General features: G+C 36.2%; 1 protein-coding gene and 1 pseudogene across 9 annotated transcripts in view; both read left to right on the top strand.

Annotated features, from left to right (window-relative positions):
• ATR (ATR checkpoint kinase) overlaps positions 1 to 24,259 on the top strand; it is a 129,499-nt gene that overhangs the window by 44,894 nt on the left and 60,346 nt on the right. For 6 of the 9 annotated variants that reach the window (XM_011512925.2, XM_011512924.2, XM_047448361.1 and 3 more), the window contains 6 exons: positions 9,641 to 9,847; positions 10,993 to 11,112; positions 14,056 to 14,171; positions 18,325 to 18,445; positions 20,202 to 20,339; positions 21,370 to 21,580. In XM_011512925.2, coding sequence (XP_011511227.1) covers positions 9,641 to 9,847; positions 10,993 to 11,112; positions 14,056 to 14,171; positions 18,325 to 18,445; positions 20,202 to 20,339; positions 21,370 to 21,580 — 913 coding nt within the window. The remainder of the gene's footprint in view (positions 1 to 9,640; positions 9,848 to 10,992; positions 11,113 to 14,055; positions 14,172 to 18,324; positions 18,446 to 20,201; positions 20,340 to 21,369; positions 21,581 to 24,259) is intronic. The other 3 variants (NM_001354579.2, NM_001184.4, XM_047448363.1) reach the window with 1 other exon arrangement.
• On the top strand, positions 872 to 1,593 carry SUCLG2P1 (SUCLG2 pseudogene 1; annotated as a pseudogene).

Raw genomic sequence — 24,259 nt, 5'->3', positions numbered from 1 at the left:
CCAATGCTAATAGATTACCTAGACAGAATAAGAAGGGAAGTGTACTTGTAGGAGTCTTGAGTACTCTGATTAAGATATAATAGCCGTATATTATTATGGGATTTTTTTAAAGTAAGTATTTAATGTAGTTTAGCATCTATAACTGGATAAATTTATGGCAGGCTGGTAAGAAAAACTAAAGGCAAGGAAGATTGGAAGATCCATGAGGAGGTAAGAAAAGAATAAAGATCCAGAAACACGTCTTCCTAACCATACTCCAGCAGGCACTGGCCCAAAACACCTAGGAATAAAGAGAGAAGGAAATGGGTTTTTTCCCAACTGTGGCAAGAAGATAGCATTAAAGTTGAATACAATTGAATTAAGACTTCCAATAGTACTGTCCAAAGGACCTTTCTGTGAGGATGAAAATATTCTATATCTATACTCTTCAGCAGTAGCCACTAGCCACATGTGGCTCTCTTGAGCACTTGAAATATATGCTCAAACATTATGTTCTGAGTAACAGAATTTTTAATTCTATTTAATTTTGCTAATTTAAATTTATTTACTTATTTACTTTTAGAGGCAGGGTCTCTCCAGTACAGGGGTGTGATGATAGCTCCCTGCAGCCTGAAACTCCTGGGCTCAAGCAATTCTCCCACTTCAGCCTCCTGAGTAGCTAAGATTACAGGTGTGTGCCACCATGCTCACCTAATTTTTTTTTTTAAGAGATGGGGTCTTGCTATGTTGCCCAGGCTGGTCTTGAACTCCTGGCCTCATGCAGTCCCCTTGCCTGGGCCTCTGGGAGTACTGGTATTACAGGTGTGAGCCACTCTACCTGGCCTAATTTAAATTTAAATAGCCACATGTGGATAGTAGCTATTGTATTGGACAGTGCAGCTCTACAAGTTGGTTGAACCTACAGGAATACCACCAGAGCATGAAACTGGCATAAGATAAGAGGATGAGAGGCCAGAGTCTTTGTAGTCAGTACTCTTAAGAGTCCATGAGACAACAGATGCAAAAGATTCTGTTTTAGAATTTAAAATTTAGCCACAGGGAGAGGAAAAGATACTTTAAGAGTGGATTGAAAGGAGGTTTTTATTTAAAAATACACCTGAAGTTGTGGTAGGAGTGGCTAAACAAATGATTGGGTGTAATGTAGCAACAAAGCAAATTCCAAGAGGTGGTGATAGGAAAGTTAATAAGATGATCGCTGGTATAGCATTAGATACTTAACTATTTTTTATGGAATGACCCTGCAAAAGCCCTGTACTGATGGGTAGTCCCAGACAGTCATTGACATTGAAGAGATGACACCTTCTACTTATTTTTAAGGAGGAATATATATTTTTGAAGGAATAGAAGACTTCTAAGCTCAGTGGATGGCAGAAAATGATTTCTATGTAGAAAAGTCAGACTAGAGATCAAATTAAGAAACCATATAATTGGTTTCTGAAGATTGATACTAGTCAGGAATCCATTTGATAAAATCCCAAAAAGATAACTTTGTAAGAAGCCAAAATAAACTTTTATGGCAATGCAGAATTCTAATAAAATGACATTTACTAACGTTTACACATAAGAGAAGAGGCTATTGAAAATAAAACTGGGAGGTGGAGCCAAGATGGCCAAATAGGAACAGCTCCAGTCTACAGCTCCCAGCGTGAGTGACGCAGAAGATGGGTGATTTCTGCATTTCCAACTGAGGTACCGGGTTCATCTCACTGGGGAGTGTCAGACAGTGGGTGCAGGACAGTGGGTGCAGCCCACCGAGCATGAGCCGAAGCAGGGCACTTCTCAAAAGAAGACATTTATGCAGCCAAAAAACACATGAAAAAATGCTCATCCTCACTGGCCATCAGAGAAATGCAAATCAAAACCACAATGAGATACCATCTCACACCAGTTAGAATGGTGATCATTAAAAAGTCAGGAAACAACAGGTGCTGGAGAGGATGTGGGGAAATAGGAACACTTTTACACTGTTGGTGGGACTGTAAACTAGTTCAACCATTGTGGAAGTCAGTGTGGCGATTCCTCAGGGATCTAGAACTAGAAATACCATTTGACCCAGCCATCCCATTACTGGGTATATACCCAAAGGATTATAAAACATGCTGCTATAAAGACACATGCACACATATGTTTATTGCAGCACTATTCACAATAGCAAAGACTTGGAACCAACCCAAATGTCCAAGAATGATAGACTGAATTAAGAAAATGTGGCACATATACCCCATGGAATACTATGCAGCCATAAAAAAGGATGAGTTCATGTCCTTTGTAGGGACATGGATGAAGCTGGAAACCATCATTCTCAGCAAACTATTTCAAGGACAAAAAACGAAACACCGCATGTTCTCACTCATTGGTGGGAATTGAACAATGAGAACACATGGACACAGGAAGGGGAACATCACACACTGGGGCCTGTTGTGGGGTGAGGGGCTGGGGGAGGGATAGCATTAGGAGATATACCTAATGTTAAATGACGAGTTAATGGGTGCAGCACACCAACATGGCACATGTATACATATGTAACAAACCTGCACGTTGTGTACAAGTACCCTAAAACTTAAAGTATAATAATAAAAATAAAATAAAATAAAATAAAATAAAACTGCTAGAGACTTTCAGGTTGTCTTAGGATAATGGTGGATGCCTACATCTGAATTTCTGTGTAGCCCCTGAAATATCATAAAGAGTGTCAAGCAGAGCAATTGAAACCACACATAATTTACACCTTCAACAGAACTTTGAGACAGAATATTATGAACTTCAAATTACTTGTAACTAACAGAGATATCTGTGGAGCTCATATCTTAACCTTGTATGGTGTTGAGAGCGGGTACGTTCTGATGAGACTGTATAAAAAAAGAAGAAAATGAAGAATAGGAACTAAGAATTGATGGAGCAAAGAGAAAATCACCAACAGAAAGAGAGTCATACTCTTAAGTGCAACATTACTGAAAATAAGTCCAGGATGTGGTATGTCAGACTACTGGCTACAGGGAAGGTACTTGAAAGTATGCCCAACGTTTGTAGTCTCTGAAAATCAGTTTCTTGGGAGTAGTAAAAGAAGAGGAGAGGAGAGGCACTCTTCAGAGACTATGGCATAAACAGAAAGAAGAAAGTAAGAGGGAGAATTTTAAGGGTCCTGCAGAAGTAAAAGAAATGTACAAAATCAGAGATGAACCAAATCCTCCCCCTGCTACCAGAAAAAGAAAAAAAAGCTATTCATGAAGAAAACTGCACTTCACTATGCTGACGTGGATACTCATGAAAGAGAAATCCTGAAGCCACTACAGAATGCTTACTGCAGATAGCTGTTATGGAGGGTTTTCTAGTTTAGAAATTTCACAATATGTGTAGAAAAAATATATGTATGCAAGGTTCCTGTAAGACAAAAATAGAAAATGAAAATAAAGTCTGTGAATTGATGACAGTTCCTCCTCAAAACCAACCATAACATGGAAGAAGATTGAACTTAGCAGTATAACTTTAATTGAATATTTTAAACAATCATTTTCAGATATAAAAAAAGTTGCATGAAAAATTTAAAAAACAAGAGAAATAAAAACCAAGATGAAACGAGGGTGATTGAACTTAGGAAAGAAATTGAAATGAAGATTAAATTACAAGAACTACAGGGGAGAATATATTTGACTAAACATTTAGCAAGGGGCATTGAATAAAGGTATAAAAAACAGAAGAAAAATGAGATAAAGGAGTAAAATAGATAAAGGAGTAAAAAGGAGTAAAAAGAAAAAGTAGTTGAAATGGAAGATTGGCAAAGATTTCACCTGCAAATAATTGATGTCTCTGAAGAATAAAACCAAAACAAGAGAACAGAATTAATATTTAAAATTATAATCCAAGAAAGCTTTCTGGAAATAAAAGACCTAATCTACATATTGAAAAGACTTGTATCCTGGAGAAAATTGACCCAGGATAATTAACTCTGAGACATATCCTAGACTTTAATAATAAAAAGTCTTCAAAGCTTCCTGGCCAAAAAATTTTTTTTCAAAAAATTACTTGCAAGGAGAAAAAAAAGTAGATTGGTATCAGAATTCTCAGTAGGAATGTACAGAGTGGGCCTAGAAAATAGCAGCATTTTTTTAAAATGTCAAAAAATGTCATAAAGTATGAGTCAAGAAAGAGTCAAGCTGTCCTTAGAGTATCATGTATGAGAACACGGTTTTAAACCTACAAGAATTGAAGTAATATGGTTTTCACAAGTGATCCCTTCCTAAGAGATGTATTAGAGGATGAGCTTCATTAAGTCAAGAGATGACTGGGCAGACTTTGGCAAAAGGTCTGATGGTTACTGTTTATGTATTTAACGAAATATATAAGACTAAAACAACAATAGGGCAAGTGTGGGATAATTATATGTAAATGTTATATTCTAATAAACTAGAAATAATGCAATTTTTTTAAATGAGAGAAGGGGGAGAGTAAGGAGTAAGTAAGATAAGCTCAGTAATTGTTGCATAGGCAATAACTGGAAGTCAAAATATACCATTTTACACCGGCAAACTAGTTATAGAAAGTCAAATAAGGAAAAGAGGGAGTGTAGGTATTTCAAAAAATTACCTTAATTTTTATTTTACCTTTAAGGTAAATAATATTTCACCTTTAATTAATATTAAAGGTATTAATATATTGGATAGGCTGGGCACGGTAGCTCACGCCTGTAATCCCAGCACTTTGGGAGGCCAAGGCAGGCAGATCACGAGGTCAGGAGTTCAAGACCAGCCTGACCAACATGGTGAAACGCTGTCTCTACTAAAAATACAAAAATTAACCAGGCATGATGGCGCACCTGTAATCCCAGCTGCTCAGGAGGCTGAAGCAGGAGAATCGCTTGAACCCGGGAGGCAGAGGTTGCAGTGAGCCGAGATTGCGCCACTGCACTCCAGCCTGGGTGACACAGTGAGACTCTGCCTCAAAAAAAAAAAAAAAAAAAAAATATATATATATATATATATATATATGATAATTCCAGAACAAAAGTATAAACTGTCATCCTTACCCAAATAAATGATTTTTTAAACACGAAACAGGATAGAGGGAAGAAAGCACTAATTATAGTATACTGTATTATAATTATAATCCATTGTATTATAATAAAAAATCTGACAGAATTGTAGCCAAGCATCTGAGTCACATTAATAAGTGTGAACAACCTTAAAATTAAAAAATTTACAAATTGGCTTACAAAGTAAGAAACAACTCTCTACCACATGCAAGATACGTACCTAAAGTGATTCAGAAAGGCCAAAAATAAAGGGATAAGCAAAAATTATCCAGATAAGTGGAAAGTATAAGAAAGCAGGAATTCTCATTCTGCCACCAAACAAAATAGAACTGAAGCTGAAAAGCATTAAATATGACCAAAATGGATACTTTTTAATGCTTAATGCCATAATTCATAAGGAAGATTTAATAGTTATGAATATGCTCCAAATAACACACCAGCCACCTTGATAAAGCCAAAATAAGAAGCTTAAGAAGATATATATAGAAACTCAATCAGAGGAGACTACCATGTTATTCTCAGTATAAAATAAGTTAGTAGATAAATACGTAGAAGATCTAAATAACATAATAAAGTAGCTATTGTGAATATATGTCAGACGTTACACCTTGATAATAGAAGCATACTTTAAAGAGCAGATAGAACATTCATAAAAATTGATTATTGTATTAGTTGGATCTTTGTGTTAGTTTGCTAGGGCTGCTATAACAAAGTACTACAAACTGAATGACTTTAAACAACAGAAACAGAAATTTATTGTCTCACAGCTCCCATGGGCTAGAAGTTTGAGATCAAGGTGGTGGCAGGGTTGGTTCCTTTTGAGAGCTTCTGGTGGTTTGCTGGCAACCTTTGGTATTCTTGAATAAACAGATCCATAGAGATAGAAAGTAGATTAATGGTTGCCTAGGGTTAGGAGGTTTGGGGGAAATGGGGAGTGATTGCTGATGGGTACAGATTCCTTTTGAGATGGTAAAAATGTTCTGAAATTAAATAGAAGTGATGGTTGCACTTGTGATATACTTCATTATACTAAAACTTGTGAATATACTAAAGACCATTCATTTGTACACCTTAGAAGAGTTAATTTTATAGTATGTGAAACAAATATTTTATTAAAACTATTTAAGAAAAGATAGTACAGGAAGAAAATAATAAAAATAAAAGCAGAAATATAGAGAACAGAAAGCAGTAAAATTAATTAATGAGTAAAAATGCTAGCAAAAAACTAGCGAAATTGGTAAATGTCAAATATGTAAATAATAAACTGTTGAAACATAGAAGGTATTTAAAAATCACAAGAGACTACTTTGTACCCTTTTACACAAATAAATTTGTAAACATGTATACTTTTCCTGGAATATATAGTGTATCAAAATGAACTCTAGCTGAAATAGAAAGCTTAAAAGATTAGTTTCTGTAGGAGAAATAGAGAATATTATAAAAGAACTTCATCCATAGGAAAGCACCAGGCCCAGATAAGGGGATTTTTAAATCAAATTTTCACAAACTAAATAGTCTCAGTGGTGTTTAAATTGTCCTGGAGTATAGGAAATGAAAGAAAACTTCCATTTTTAAAAAAGCGGCAATATATAACAGTGTTCAGTAGACCGAAAAAAGATAGCATGAAACAAAAAATTAAAGATTATCATATTAATATCAGTGTAAAAATTTATAAATGAAATATTATCAAACAAATCAATTTCACATTAAGAAAACACCCCATGCTGGGTGTAGTGGCTCATGCCTGTAATCCCAACACTTTGGGAGGCCAAGGCAGATGGATTGCTTGAGCCCAAGGGTTCGAGACCAGCCTGAGCAATATAGCAAGACCCCATCTCTACAAAAAATACAAAAATTAGCCAGGCATGGTGGCACATGCCTAAAGTCCAAGCTACTTGGAGGTTGAGGTGGGAGGATCACCTTGGCCTGGGGAGTTTGAGGCTGCAGTGAGCCAAGATCATGCCACTGCATTCCAGCCAGGGCAACAGAGCGGGACCCTGTCTCAAAAAAAAAAAAACAAAAACAAACCCACAATACCCCATGACCAGTTGCATTTTATTCCAGTATTGCAAAGATGGTTAATACTTAGCAATCCACGAATGTAATTCACTATATTAATAGATCTAAAGAGAAAATCATGCTATTATTTCCATAGATGCCGAATAGACTTTGACACATTTCATCACCTACTTCAAATGAAAACACTCAAGAAAACAGAAATTGATGAATATTATCTTAATGTATATGTGTACATATATGTATGCATGTTTATATATGTACTATGTATATATATACATAGTACATATATACACATACTTAATGGGAAACAAGAAACATTCCCACTGAAAGCAAGGTTTCCTATTATCTGCACTATTTAGCGTTCACTTGGAGGTATTGGCTAAGGAATTTAGGGAAAAAAGCAATCAGACATAAAAGTTGGAAAAGATGTAAAACTATATTTACAGATGATATGATAATCAGAGACATAAGAATTGGAAAAGATGTAAAATTATCTCCATTTCTTATGCTAATATACTTCGGAAATTATAGAGAATTACTGATAAAACTAACTTGACCACAGATGAATTCAGTAAAATAGGGGATATAAAATTAACATAAAAATTAATAATTTTCATATGACAAGTGGTAACTAGGTAGAAATTTTTTTGGAATACCCCATTTACAATAGCAACAGGAAAACAATATAGTTGAGTATAAACTTAACAAGAAATGCATACACCAACAAAAGAAAAATTTTAAAATGCTTCTGAAAGACACAAAAGGGTAATAGATTTAACTAAATGGAAACCATCACTGTTTTAGTCTGTTTGCTTTGCTGTAAAGGAATTATAGTAAATTACCCTGAGGCTGGGTAATTTATTAAAAAGAAGAGGTTTATTTGGCTTATGGTTCTGCAACCTATACAAGAAGCATGGTGCCAGCATCTGCTTCTGGTGAGGGTTTCAGCAAGCCTGAGCCTTTACTCATAGCCAAAGGGGAAGGGGAGTTGGCATATCACATGGTGAGAGAGGGAGCAAGAAAGCAATGGGAGGAGTGCCATACTCTCAAATAACCAGTTATCACTTGAACTAATGGAGTCCAGCTCACACCTGAACTAATAGAGAAAGAACTCACTTATTATCACAGGGATGGCACCAAGCCATTCATGAGGGATCCACCCATGTGACCCAAACACCTGCCACCAGATCTCACCTCCAACACTGGGGGTCACATTTCAATATGAGATTTGGAATGGACAGATACCTAAGCTATATCAATCCCTTATTATTGGGTAGGTTGATGTTATAACGATTTCAGTTCTCCTTAGGTTAATTAATGGAATGCAATCCCAATGAAAATGTCACCAAAGTTGTTTTTTTTTTAACTGTAGGAGGTTTATAATAATGCTCATATGGAAAAATAAAACATGTAAAAAATAGCTAGTAAACTCCCCCTGTAAAAAAAAAGGTTATGAGAATATAGTAGCCCAACCAAACATTAATATACTTTGTAGCCACTACAGTTATAACAAAGAGGTAACTAGTATATGAATAACCAGACCAGTGGGAAACAATAGGAGGTCTAGAAATAGACCCAAGTACATATGGACATTTAGTATATGATAAAAAGTGACACTTCTTATCTGAGTTTTACTTTTAACTGATTACCAGGGTGTGTATGTGTGGGGGTGGGGAGGCGGTCTTTACAGCTGAATTAACCTGTAATGTTATTTAAGAAATCAGCTATTGAAGATTCTGGATAAGATTAAATGTCTTTTCGTTTTTCTTTTGAAATGTATTACAGTAATTTGTATTACTCATTACAGTTCTAACATGGAGTTTGAGATGCTCCTATACACTTGACTTGTGCTAGAAAGAAAATAATATAAATGAAGTAGCTTTAAAGTGATCACACAAGTGCAAGGTCTAAATCTTCACTGGCTTGAGAATTGTTTCTTCTTACTTAACATTTTATTCATTACAGCATCCTGAAGAGATAGCTGAAAAAAGACTATTTGAATTGACATATTTATCATTAGGCTACCTCTTTCTTCCTCCCTCTTTTCCATCCTCACAGAACCCTTTTTTATATCTTTTTTCCTTCTTTACTAGTTGTTATACACTTTTCAAACTTCTTGTTTTAACCTAATAGTTGCTCCTCCACTTATCTACTGAAATATCTGTCCACTGTCCTTTAAAAGTTACTCTGTGTTTTTTCTTATTCATTGCTTCTTTGCCGTACAAGTATATTTGTTATTGTACATATCATATGATATTTTAGTTATTTGTCTGTTTTCCTCTTAGACTGTGAACTTGTTAAGACTTGTTTTACTGATTTTTTGTATATTGATAAAATGCACAGTAACTGCTTGTTTAATGGATTAATGATCAAAGACTTTCAGACATTTAATGATTCTAATTGTACAGGACATATTGTTGAACTATATTATGTGAACTCATCAAAAACTAGCTGAAAAAATTGCAGATACAGAAATTTAATTTTGTCAATATTTATGTTAGATATTCCTTAATATTTTTAAGCTTCCTAGCTCAGGAAAACATACTAGTTTGTAGAAATTACGTATAAATTTTCTTTCTACTTTTATTTTAGGAAAAACTGATAAAGTATGCAACAGACAGTGAAACAGTAGAACCTATTATCTCACAGTTGGTGACAGTGCTTTTGAAAGGTTGCCAAGATGCAAACTCTCAAGCTCGGTTGCTCTGTGGGGAATGTTTAGGGGAATTGGGGGCGATAGATCCAGGTCGATTAGATTTCTCAACAACTGAAACTCAAGGAAAAGATTTTACATTTGTGGTAAGTAGTGGAAATTTGGAATGACAAAAGAGTTCTCTGTCCTATTGAGGTTTATATATTTCATTTACAAAGAACTATTCAGCTTATCCTTAATAAAAGCTTCACCTAGAACCAGACAATCAGTTAACTTCTGAGTTTATTTCTTTTACTATTGCAGAAACCTTTAGCCAAAAGCAATAAAGTTTGAACCCCATCTAGGGTGTTATATTCTTGTAAATAAAGCTTCCTAATATAATAATGACAATACTTAAAGCCTAATCAATTATTTAAATATTACTTTTTAAACATTATTGCTAGTGTTTCCATGGATAACTAGTTTCCAGGATATTACAGTAGTAATGTTTTGTAGTCAAATGAGTTTGGGAACTCCATATAGAACAAAATTAAATGTGACCTTTTAAAAAAAATGTGACTTTTAATGTATCTGTGTGCATTGTGAATCTCTAAGACTATATCTCCAAGAGTTATACTATATGCGTATATTAAAATTATTCCTTAGAGGTTCTCAGATGACTCTTGGGCTCTACAGAATGCAACGTAGGAGATGCTATGTATACATTTTGTGTTTTTTTTTGGACGGAGTCTCGCTCTGTCACCCAGGCTGGAGTGCAGTGGTGCGATCTTGGCTTACTGCAACCTCTGCCTCCTGGATTCAAGCGATTGTCCTGCCTCAGCCTCCCGAGTAGCTGGGATTACAGGCGTGCACCACCACGCCTGGCTAATTTTTGTATTTTTAGTAGAGATGGGCTTTCACCATATTGGCCAGTCTGGTCTTGAACTCCTGACCTCATGATCCGCTCTCCTTGGCCTCCCAGAATGCTGGAATTAGAGCCATTAGCCACCATGCCTGGCCTACATTTTGCTTTTTAAGGGTTAAAAAACAAACAATGCAAATTGTCAGAGATATGCAAAAGTTGAATAATTTTTTGTACACCTTAGAAATAGCCTAAAAAGCTTTACATTTTGGCTTTTTAGCTACAGATTATATTGTAGTCTTGATACCAAACTTAGTTTGAACCTCACTGTCTTTTCCTTTGTCTAAGTTAAATTCACTTACGCAGTTAAGTTAAATTCACCATGGAAAAAGCAGTACACCTAAGAAAATTTATAGCAGTTATCCTGGAATTTTCTTTTTTTTTTTTCTGATTGAGACTGGAGTAGAAGATTCAAGCTTTGCCTATGGATTATTGATGGAGCTAACAAGAGCTTACCTTGCGTATGCTGATAATAGCCGAGCTCAAGATTCAGCTGCCTATGCCATTCAGGTAAGAGTGGATATAGTCATTACTGGCTTTAAATTGTTTAATTCAAATAAGAACGTTGTAAATTCTATACTTGTGAAACTCCTTTTTGTTTTAATTCTCACTTTTATCAAAGTTATACAAGTTCATGATAAACATTTTAGAGTACAGAAGCATACCTCTTAACCAATTATTATAGGTATAGTTACTTTCAAAATTTTTGTATGTATATACAAATATATACTACTGCCTCAGCTTTGTGACTTAAATGAGTTACTTAAATCATTCTAGGCATTGAAATAAATGTCCTAAGGATGTTCACAGCTCTAAAACTATAAAATTCTGTTTATTTTTCTATGTACAAGCATAACTCAGAGATAGTAGGGGTTCAGTTCCAGACCACCACAATAAAGCAAGTATCTCTATAAAGCAAGTTACATGAATTCTTCAGTTTCCCAGTGCATATTAACATTATGTTTACACTATACTATAGTCTGTCAGGTGTGCAATAGCATTATGTCTAAAAACCAATGTAAATGCCTTTATTTAAAAAATACTTTGTTACTAAAAAATGCTAACCATCTTCTGAGCCTTCGCAAGTCATAATGGTTTTGCTGGTGGAAGATTTTGCCTCAATGTTGATGATGCTGATTAATTACCGTGGTGGTTGCTGAAGGTTGGAATGGCTGTGGCAATTTCTTAAAAAAATCAGACAACGAAGTTTGCCACATCAGTTGCCTTTCATGAAAGGTTTCTCTGTAGCCTGTGATGCTGTTTGATACCATTTTCCCCACAGTAGAACTTCTTTCAAAATTTGAATGAGTCCTCTCAAACCTTGCCACTGCTTAATCAACTAAGTTTATGTAATGTTCTAAATCCTTCGTTGTCACCTGAACAGTGTTCACAGCATTTTGAGTGGAACCACAGTAGATTCCATCTCCAGAAACCACTTTCTTTGCTTATAAAAAGCAACTCCTCGTCCATTCAGGTTTTATCATGAGAAGGCAGTAATTCAGTCCTATCTTCAGGCTCCACTTCTAACTCTAGTTTTCTTGCTGTTTTTATCACATCTCTAGTTACTTCCTCCACTGAAATTTTGAGCCTCTCAGAGTTATCCAGGAGGGGTTGGAATCAACTTCTTTCAAACTCCTGTTAATGTTGATAGATATTTTGACTTCTCATGAATCATGAACGTTCTTAATGATATCTAGAATAGTGAATTCTTTCCAGAAGGTTTTCAGTTTACTCTGCCCAGATCCATCAGAGGAATTACTATCTGTGGCCGCTATAACCTTATAAAATGTATTTCTTAAGTAATAAAACTTGAAAGTCAAAATTACCCCTTGATACACGGGCTGCAAAATGGATGTTGTGTTAGCAGGCACGAAAACAACATTAATATCCTTGTATAGCTCCATCAGAGCTCCCAGGTGACAGGTACATTGTCAATGAGCAGTAATATTTGGAAAGGAATCTTTTATTGTGACCAGTAGGTCTCAACAGTGAGCTTAAAATATTCAGTAAACCATGCTGTAAACAGATGTGTTGTCATTCAGGCTTTGTTGCTGCATTTATAGAGCACAGGCAGAGTAGATTTCACATAATTTTTTATTTTTAAATTTTTTTTACTTTTATTGTTCTAATTTTCAATTTTTATGGGTATATAGTAGACGCATATATTTAGATTTAGCCTAATTCCTAACAGCCCTAGGATGTATGGAATCGTCAATGAGCATTGGCTTCAATTTAAAGTCACCAATTGCATTAGCCCTTAACAAGAGAGTTATTAACCTGTCCTTTGAAGCTTTGAAGCCAGGCATTGACTTCTCCTCTCTAGCTGTGAAAGTCCTGGATAGCATCTTCTTCCAACAGAATAGAATGATTTTAGCTAGATCTTCTGGATAACTTGCTGCAGCTTCTCTATCAATAGTTGCTTCTTCACCTTACACTTTTATGTTATAGAGACAGCTTCTTTTCCTTAAACCTCATGAAGCAACCTCTGTTTGCTTCAAACTTTTTGGGTTTTTTTTTGTTTTTTAAGAAGCGCCCCTTGAGTTGTATCACTTCAAACTTTTTTTCTGCAACTTATTCTCCTCTCTCAGATTTCATAGAATTGGAGAGAACTAGGGCTTTTCTTTGGATTAGGCTTTGGCTTAAGGGAATGTTGTGGCTAGTTTGATCTTTTATCCAGACCACTAAAACTTTCTCTATATCAGAAATAAGACTGTTTCTCTTTCTTATATTTGATGTATTCATTGGAGTAACACTTTTAATTTCCTTCAAGAACTTTTTCTTTGCATTTATACTTGGCTGTTAGGTGCAAGACACCTAGCTTTTGGCTTGTCTAGGTTTTTGACATGCCTTCTTCACTAGGCTTAGTCATTTCTAGCTTTTGATTTAAAGTGAGAGATGTGCGATTCCTCCTTTCATATGTATACTTAGAGGCCACTGTAGGGTCATTAATTGGCCTAATTTCAATATTCTTATGTCTTTGGAAATATGAAGTCCCAAAGAGAGTGAGGGGGATGGAACGGCTGGTCAGAACACACACCACATTTATCGATTAGGTTCACTGTCTTATATGGGCACAGTTTGTGGAGCCCCAAAGCAATTACAACAGTAACATCAAAGATCACTGATCATATATCACTATAACAGATATAGTAATAATGAAAAAGTTTGAAATATTTTGAGAATTACCGAAATGCGACATAGAGACATGAAGTGAGCATATGTTGTTGGGAAAATGGCACTGATAGATTTACTGCATGCATAGTGGCCACAAACCTTCTATTTCTAAAAAAACAAACAGACAAAAAAAACAGCATCCATGAAGCATAAATAAAGCGAAGTGCAATAAAATGAGTTATGGCTGTATTTTTATAACTAAGATATGTAGAACATTGACGAATATAAAGCGTTATCTGCTTCACTGTGGACTTACAAATGTAAAATATGTATTTGTAGGAGTTGCTTTCTATTTATGACTGTAGAGAGATGGAGACCAACGGCCCAGGTCACCAATTGTGGAGGAGATTTCCTGAGCATGTTCGGGAAATACTAGAACCTCATCTAAATACCAGGTATGTAGGCTTATTTAATGTATTTTCATAAAATTGTTTTTAATTATATAAAAATAATGCGATTTTTTTGGCCGGGTGCAGTGGCTCACGCCTGTAATCCCAGCACTTTGGGAGGCTGAGGCGGGCGGATCACGAGGTCAGGAGTTCGAGATCAGCCTGACCAACATGGTGAAACGCCATCTCTACTAAAAATACAAAAATTAGCCGGGCGTGGTGGTGCACATCTGTAATCCCAGCTACTTGGGAGGCTGGGGCAGGAGAATCACTTGAACCCAGGAGGCAGAGGTTGCAGTGAGCCGAGATTGTGCCATTGCACTACAGCCTGGGTGACAGAGCGAGACTTTGTTTGGAAAAAAAAAAAAAAATTAATGTGATTTTTGATATAGTTTTTTAACATTAAAAGTGTTTTAGTATCTCCTCATGTATATTTTTCACTATGATTTATGCTTATAATTTGTCTAGATGAGAAGTGCAGTCTGCTCATTGGGTTAAATTCTACAACTTTAAATATTCAGATAAATTTATTGAAGTTAAAAGGATTGATTTTTTTAAAAGTTCAATGGTCGGTAGTAAATTGAAAGAATATACTTTAAGCTGAATGTGAGTTGAATTCTTTGATAGGTATAAGTAATACAGAAATTTAAAGTTTAAAGCTAGTCAGAAAGCCTTTAGTAGGCCCAATTAAAGATTTTCATTACTCCCAATTTCTCCTCATGAATATATTTTCACCCTCTGCTTTTAAAAAAATGTATTTAATCTCTTAAAAAATTTAAATGACTTTGTTAGGACTGACGAAATATGCAAGATGACATGCAAATACATGAAGCATTTTATATGAAAAAAATCCATACAACTATAAATTATTTCTATTTAGAAACTACTTTTTGGTACCCTAGGTACACATGCATATTAGATACTTGACTTTGGACAAATAACTTCTTTGAACCTTAGAAAGTGCCTAGACTTATACTAACAGTCTTTATAAAAGCCCAGAGGTATGCATATTTATTTCCTAGATAATTTTTTATACTTAGAAATCTTTTAAACATCATTTTATGTCTTATGACTAGCATTATTAAAGAAGTGATTATTTAGCATTATTATTATTAGCCTTATTAAAGAAGAATTATTACTGTTATTATTATTATTTTTGAGACAGAGTCTCACTCTGTTGCCCAGGCTGGAGTGCAGTGATGCGGTATCAGCTCACTGCAGCCTCTACCTCCTGGGTTCAAGTGATTCTCCTGCCTCAGTCTCCCAAGTAGCTGGGATTACAGGCGTGCACCGCCATGCCTGGCTACTTTTTGTATTTTTAGTAGAGATGAAGTTTCATCATATTGGCCAGGCTGGTCTCCTGGCCTTAAGTGATCTGCCTGTCTGGGCTTCCCAAAGTGCTGGGATTGCAGGCATGAGCCATCACACCTGGCCACTATTAGCATTATTTAAAAAGTAAAGTTAAAGACTAAAGTTAAAATTTGGATTTTCATTTTTGAGGACTCCATACTTCCCCCATTTTCTTAGTCTGTATTTTGTATAGCACCTGTAGATGTCAAAGAATTTCTGTAATCTACTGGAAAGTTTATGACCTTTGTAGTCACACAGGCTTAGGTTTGATTGTTGGCTTTGCATTTGCTAGCTCTGAAGTCTTGGGCAAGTTATTTAACATTTCCAGGTTTTAATTTTTTAATTTTGAAAACATGGATAATTTTACCCACTTTGTATGATTATTGTTAGGAATAAAGGAGATAATATTAAAAGTACTTAGCAAAGTGCCTGATATTTAGTTGACACTCAATAATAAATGCTTATTCAATCCTAGCTTGCTTAATAAGTTCTTTGTTTTTGGGGGGAGAATTTGTGAGGTTGGCTATCATATACTTCATAAGAAGTAGAAGCCAACATTTCTGCCTACTTGTCATGTTTTTCATAGGAAGCAACTTTTAAGTGGTCTTTTAAAAGTAGATCTTAACAAAGCAATGGAAATTCTTTTGGTCTTTAGCTTTTATACCTGAGCAGTTAGAATAACCTCTCGAATGGTTCCTCAATGATGGAAGTTAGGAGATTTACCTAGTTGGGATCTGCTTATTGAAATTGGAGCCACATAAAATTAAGAGGTTGATAGAGTGCGTTTTCAATAGCGTTGATTCCCTTTTGTATGAAAAACTAAAATACCAGGTTAGCCTGTAGCTCAATTTTATAGCTTGGACTGCTTGATATTTACTCCAGAGGACCTAGGGAAATATGGAATTTCTTAAAAGCATATTCATATTTTTGCTGCCTTTAAGTTATACTCCCTACTTTATGTTTTTTTTTTTTTTAATTTGGGCTCTTTATATATAATCACTAAATCTGGATTAAAGGATGGCTGTATTTGGGAGACTGAAATTTAGAACCAGATAGAACAACTGCAGTTCAAAATCACCATAGAAATAACTTTAGGAGAAAACATCAGGTTATGACTAGGCAGAGCCTGGCTTGTATCCCAGTATCAGTAGTTTTCTAGCTAAGTTTACTATAAATTTGATAAAAATCATCCAGAGAACTATACGCGTGATGATTCAAAATAGGGATTTGAATTTTTTCTCCTGGTTTAGTGTGATGGTTAACTGAGAGATTATTGGATTTTTCAACTGTTAGAAACTTGGAATACAGTGAAATATGTATATATATATATATATATATATTATTTGGGTATAAGACTTTGGGTATAGGGCATTTGTTATTTCCTAAGCTTTTATTGGTGATTTGAAAGAAACCCATGCCATTCAAAAAAATCCTACACACAGGTAGCCGTAAGATGAGAGCTGTGTGAACATGTTTAAATGTTAATGCTGAGGAACAAATAGAAAGGGTCATGTTGAAGTAATGTGAGAGAGAAGTGATAGTTGGTGTAGTAAGGACCCCAAGGAGCATCCGGAATGGGAGAGCCGTGGCCCTTATAGGGAATTATACTTAGAAGGAATAGATCTCTTTTTTTGCAATAGGGAAAGATAAAATAATGGATGGAACACAGCTAAGTTTACAGATTTCATTGCGGGAAGCAATGATTTTGTTTTTACTCTGTGAAGTAGGAGGTATAGGAGATGACCTCATTGGCTGAAAGTGGCAATGGAGTTGGTGTAGGTGACTTTAGGAGGGTGGTGATGGTTTGAAATAATCACTGGAAAACAGAAGAGAGCCAATAATGAAAACGTAGAAGGAATTCTGTAACTTTAGCGGCCCACTGACTTTGAAGACTAAGAATACATAGTAGTACTAATCTTATAAGTGGGTTAGTGATTTTCCTGTATCAGTGCAGTAGCCTGAGTATCATTTCAGTAAAGACAAATATTTAGACTGATTCAAGGTTGGGAGGTTAGCAGATGAATACCGCTGGAAAAGACAGTGTGGCAATGGAGTGGGTAGAGGATATTACCAAGAGAATGCTAGAAGTGAAGGACCATACAGACTAAGATGGTTGTGGAAAGAGGCAAAGAGACAGGGGTGTCATAGATCAGGAGAGCTTAGCAGGGTCACGGAACAGAAGATCTCAACAAGAGAGAATGGGTGTGCTGGAATAACTGGGTGAAAAAACTGGAAATTTAGGAAACTATGACCATACAATGAGATGTCTAAATAATTGATTTCAAAGTGAAGAAATTCTTTGAATTAGCATGGGAGCCCTGATAATTCCTGAGCCCTGATAAGTAGAGAAGAAAGTCATTGGAAACTTCTGAGCTTGATTAAGTGCTCCAGCTAGACACTGAAGTCACCCAGGATGATAATAACACTGGGAAGAAAGAAAACCCTGAGCAGTGTTCTAAAGTTATCAATGAGTTTGGTAATCAGTGTGTTGCATAGTTACCCATAATGAGGAGTAGAAAATGGTAGTATACCTGGGTGGCTTGAACTTCAAAGGAACAGGTTTTTCTTATATAAGAAGAGAGTTGGAAGGATCTGAGGAAGAGGAGGGGGCAGACTCAAATCCTTAGAAGTACTTTAGGTGTCCAAGAATGACCTACTTCACCCCTAAGAAGGATACTGGAAAAAGGTAAGCAGATTGCAGTAAAGGCAAGGCAGTACTGAGGTAGTCAACTGAAGGAGTTGCTGTAATTTACTAAAATTCTAAACAGGTGGATTTATCTTTTTAATAAACAAATTTTCAAAATTACAGATACAAGAGTTCTCAGAAGTCAACCGATTGGTCTGGAGTAAAGAAGCCAATTTACTTAAGTAAATTGGGTAGTAACTTTGCAGAATGGTCAGCATCTTGGGCAGGTTATCTTATTACAAAGGTAAGAAACCCTGTTCAGTTTGTTAACTGAATGGAAATTCTAAAGGAAACCAGAACATCTATCTGAATGCCTAGCACACACAATAATCATTGAAGTATTTGTGCTGATAATCATAGAAATTTTTGAAGAAAATGTTAACTAATAGAGAATAATAATTTCTCTGTAGTTACTAATAATAGCTTCTGAGTGAAAAGTAATTGTTTTACCAAGAAAATTACTATGGTCTTAATGTGTGTGTAAAATTACATTTATTCCTTTTATATTGTAAAATAATACTATGTAAAAGGATGTAAATGCTATGTCAGAGTTTTTTACATAATAAAAAGACATTCAATAAAGAGATATATTATACTCTAATAGCATTTCTAAAAGAAGTTATATTATCTGAACTTTCTCTAAAATAAAAATAAAGATTTTTACAATGAATTTTCATAGAAAAACAGGTATATTTCTATTTCCTTAATGAGAAATTTTTACATGCTGGATAGACAAAAGGTACTCTGTGTTCCAAGAAAATGTTTACAGTATATTTAAAATTTACAATTTTTGTTTTTAATTTACCTTTCTTTTTTTTTTTTTTTTTTTTTGTGACGGAGTCTTGCTCTTGCCACCCAGCCGGAGTGCAGTGGTGCGATCTCGGCTCACTGTAAGTCTCCGCCTACCGGGTTCAAGTGATTCTCCCGCCTCAGCCTCCTGAGTAGCTGGGATTACAGGCATGAGTCATCACACCCGGCTAATCTTTGTATTTTTTTTTTTTTTTCGAGACAGAGTCTCACTCTGTCGCCCAGGCTGGAGTGCAGTGGCGCGATCTCAGCTCACTGCAAGCTCCGCCTCCCGGGTTCATGCCATTCTCCTGCCTCAGCCTCCCAAGTGGCTGGGATTACAGGTGCCCACCACCACGCCCGGCTAATTTTTTTGTATTTTTTTAGTAGAGACGGGGTTTCACCGTGTTAGCCAGGATGGTCTCGATCTCCTGACCTCAGGTGATCTGCCCGCCTCTGCCCCTCAAAGTACTGGTATTACAGGCGTGAGCCACCGTGCCCCACCTTTAATTAACATTTCTGTTAGTGTTTTAAAATATCATTATACTAATTCGTAGTTAGTAACTTCAAGACATTTTCTTTTTTTTTGAGACGGAATCTCGCTCTGTCACTCAGGCTGGAGTGCAGTCTCGGCTCACTGCAACCTCCGCCTCCCGGGTTTAAGTGGTTCTCCTGCCTCAGCCTCCCGAGTATCTGGAACTACAGGCACCCGCCACCATACCAGCTAATTTTTGTGTGTGTTTTTTTTGTAGAGACTGGGTTTCACCATGTTGGCCAGGATGGTCTCGATCTCTTGACCTCGTGATCCTCCCACCTTGGCCTCCCAAAGTGCTGGGATTACAGGCGTGAGCCACCATGCCCGGCTGACATTTTCTTTTTTTAATGAATATACTGAAAATATAATGTGTGAAATGTGGAATACTGTTAACTATTTTCAGCTCTGGAATATTATGGGTTTTTTTTTGTTTTTTGGCTTTGTATTTGAAGAAAAAATCTCTTTAAAATTTTATGAGTTCAACAGTGTTAGCAAATCAAAAGTTAAGTCATAACAAAATTTGACTTTAACCCCAAATAATTTAATTAAAAAATTAATTAAAAAACTTTTTAAATTTAAAAATGAATACTCGTTTGTGATAAATTATCTCACATGCTACTCTTTGACATTTAATCAATATGTGAAAGTGTGTTACTGTCTACACATTTTGCATTTACAGGTTCGACATGATCTTGCCAGTAAAATTTTCACCTGCTGTAGCATTATGATGAAGCATGATTTCAAAGTGACCATCTATCTTCTTCCACATATTCTGGTGTATGTCTTACTGGGTTGTAATCAAGAAGATCAGCAGGAGGTGAGATAAATCATCTTACTTGGTTTTTGAACATGTGAAACTTACTTTCTCCAATGTAATTAGTATTAGAAAGGCTACCTATTAGTAGGAAATGTAGACCTATGTATGGCTATGTATGTTCATTTACATATCTTTGCCTGTTTGGTGTGTGTATCCCTTTAATTGATAGACGTTCTATGTATATTCTAGCTACCAATTTGTTGCCAGTCATATTTTCAAAAATTATTCCAACTTAGTCATTTTCTTTTTAACCTTTTCACATTTTGCCACGCAGAAATTTTAAATGTAAATGCAAAATTTATACATCTTTTATAGATTATTAATTTTAAACCTTTTATGTGATGCCTCATCTAATGTCATGAACTTATTTGCTATATTTTCTTTTAATCCTTCTGTTTTTATATTTAGTCTTCAATTACTCTGAACTTAATTTTGCATATAGTGTGAAATATTACTGTAAGTTTTTTTCACTGTTAACAAAGTTTCATTATCATTTATTGAATAATCTAGAATATTTTAAAATTTTTAAAATTTTCTTTAGTCGTTAACATATTTTCTTTTTAGACTAATATTTGGATTGATTTAATTATAGATAAGAACAATAGAGGAATGTATTATTGATCAATTGTGTTTTCCTTTTCTTTTTTTGAGACAGAGCCTCCCTTTGTTGCCCAGGTTGGGGTGCAGTGATGCTCTTGGCTCACTGCAACCTCCACCTCCCAGGTTCAAGTGATTCTCCTGCCTCAGCCTTCTGAGTAGCTGGGATTACACACATGTGCCACCATGCCTGGCTAATTTTTTTGTATTTTTAGTATAGACAGGGTTTCACCATGTTGACCAGGCTGGTCTTGACCTCAGGCAATTGGGCTGCCTCAGCCTCCCAAAGTGCTGGGATTACAGGCCAACATGCCTGGCCAATTGTGTTTTTTCTTTTGAAAATTTTTGCCTTAGAATGGTTAGCTTTAGATGTCATATAATAGTTAAATGGTATTATATAGATATTATTATTAATTATAAATGATTCTCATAGGTTTATGCAGAAATTATGGCAGTTCTAAAGCATGACGATCAGCATACCATAAATACCCAAGACATTGCATCTGATCTGTGTCAACTCAGTACACAGACTGTGTTCTCCATGCTTGACCATCTCACACAGTGGGCAAGGCACAAATTTCAGGCACTGAAAGCTGAGAAATGTCCACACAGCAAATCAAACAGAAATAAGGTAGACTCAATGGGTGAGTTATCACTTCTGTTTCTTTTTTTTTTTTTTTTTTAGCTATTCACCAATTAGCTCTTCCCTTTATCAGTTCTATAATTTAAGCACTAGCTTAAAAAATACCTTGCTTCATGTTTTTTATTGTTGTTGTTGTTGTTTGGAGATGGAGTTTCCCTCTTGTTGCCCAGGCTGGAGTGCAGTGGCGTGACCTCGGCTCACTGCAATCTCTGCCTCCCGGGTTCAAGCAATTCTCCTGCCTCAGCCTCCCAAGTAGTTGGGATTACAGGTGCCCACCACCACACCCAGCTAATTTTTTCGTGTATTTTTAGTAGAGACAGGGTTTTGCCATATTGGCCAGACTGGTCTCGAACTCCTGACCTCAGGTGATCTATCTGCCTTGGCCTCCCAAAGTGCTGGGATTACAGGCATGAGCCACCGCACCCAGCTGTTTTGTGTATTTTTAAAATGGGTAATAGTGTGGCCTTTTCACTGAGAAAAAACAGTGAATTTATAGTAATAAGACCTTTCTCTCTTCTTACTCTCACTTCGACAAGGCACATATTTATTTTTTCTTTGTATAAAATGGGGTTAATATTTTTATTTTTATTTATTAATTTTTTTTTGAGATGGAGTCTTGCTCTGTTGCCCAGGCTGGAGTGCAGTGACAGGATCTTGGCTCACTGCAACCTCTACCTCCTGGGTTCAAGCAGTTCTCCTGCCTCAGCTTTGCGAGTAGCTGGGATTACAGGTGTGTGCCACCATGGCCAGCTAATTTTTGTATTTTTAGTAGAGACGGGGTTTCACCATGTTGGCCAGGCTGGTCTCCAACTCCTGGCCTCAAGAGATCCACCCACCTCAGCCTCCCAAAGTGCTGGGATTACAGGTGTGAGCCACCACACCTGGCCAAAATGGGGTTAATATTATCTCCCTTAGGAGATTATTGTGAGGAATAAATGAGATGATGAACAGATAAATTATAAAATGTGAAATAAATGAGATGCTAATATTGTTATTAACCTAATCCTCCCTGTTAACATATTATATGTTTCCTCAGTTTTTGTGTGTGTGTGTGTGTGTATGTGTGTACTCTGTTCTTTGTCATTCTTCACTTGGAAAATATTCTTTGTAATCTTTTTCACATTTAAGTTTTAAATTTCAAGGGAGATTTTAATTTTATTTATTTCATGGCCTAAAGAGAAGCTATTTTTATTTATTTATTTTTCTTGTCTCTAGTAGTGTTTGATATCTAGCCAGCTGTCCAGATATGCTTAGTATGCATTACTACACTACACCCTGCTCTATCTTACCTTGCACTGTTTTTTTCCTGTGATATTACAACTTTCACTAAGAAGAATCTTGATTTAAAAATGACAACTGCTAATTTGTCCCTATGATATAAGCATTGATGAGAAGAATTATATTCATCACACACTAATGGATATTCTTACTTTCTTTGAACCTTTTTTTTTTTTCCATTCTTGGCAATAAGTGGATGGTTATAATCTGGCCTTATACCTTAGCTGTTCTCACAGACATCAAGTATTTTTCCTTCAGGCTTTCAGGCTAATTGAAAAACTATCTAACAGTCCTTAAAGAGGCCTTCACTTCCATAATTCTCAGTTTGTGAGCATCTCCCTCTTGTTCTGTTGAAGCAGATACTTTCCTGTTGTTAAGCAAAATAGTTTATTATTTTTCTGAAATTTCCTGGACTTGCCAATAATTACCTGCTTGGAGAATGTTTTTGTCTGGAATGTGGCTATTAATATATTTTTATATTTAACTATTGAATGTTTGTTTTTTAATTTTTTTTTCTTTTTTTGAGACTAAGTCTCTCTCTGTTGCCCAGGCTGGAGTTGCAGTGGTGTGATCTTGGCTCACTGCAGCTTCCACCTCCTGGGTTCAAGTGATTCTCATGCCTCATGCCCAGCTAATATTTTGTACTTTTAGTAGAGACGGGGCTTCACCATGTTGGCCAGGCTGGTCTCTAACTCCTGGGCTCAAGCAGTCCATCTGCCTCGATCTCCCAAAGTGTTGGAATTATAGGTGTGAGCCAGCACAACCAGCCTGTTAGTTTTTATTTCTGCATGTCAAAATGGTACTGTAAAACCAAACACTCTATTATCACCATTTTCAGTGACAGTAGCTTTTTTTTTTTTTTTTTTTCTGAGACAGTCTCACTCTATAGCCCAAGCTGGAGTGCAGTGGCATGATCTTGGCTCACTGCAACCTCCACCTCCCAGGCTTAAGCGATTCTTGTGCCTCAGCCTCCTGAGTAGCTGGGGCTACAGGCACATGCCACCATACCCGACTAATTTTTTGTATTTTAATGGAGACAGGGTTTCACCACACTGCCCAGGGTGGTCCCAAACTCCTGCGCTCAGGCGATCCACCTGCCTTGGCCTCCCAGAGTGCTGGGATTACAGACGTGAGCCACTGTGCCTGGCCAAAATTCTAGCTTTTAAGAATAACATTTGTAATGATTCAAAAGTACAATACCTTTAACATTTCTTTAACATTTTTGTAGAGACCCCCATCTCTACAAAAAATACAAAAATTAGCTGGGTGTGGTGGTGTGCACCTGTAGTCCTAGGTTACTCACAAGGCTGAAGTGTGGGGATTGCTTGAGCCTGTGAGATTGAGGCTACGGTGAGACAAGATCACACCCCTGCACTCCAGCCTGGGCAGCAGAGTGAGACCC

Source organism: Homo sapiens, chromosome 3, assembly GCF_000001405.40.
Source record: "Homo sapiens chromosome 3, GRCh38.p14 Primary Assembly".
Taxonomy (NCBI): domain Eukaryota; kingdom Metazoa; phylum Chordata; class Mammalia; order Primates; family Hominidae; genus Homo; species Homo sapiens.
The sequence above is the reverse complement of the archived record's forward strand: the minus strand, read 5'-3'. Positions and strand labels throughout refer to the sequence as shown.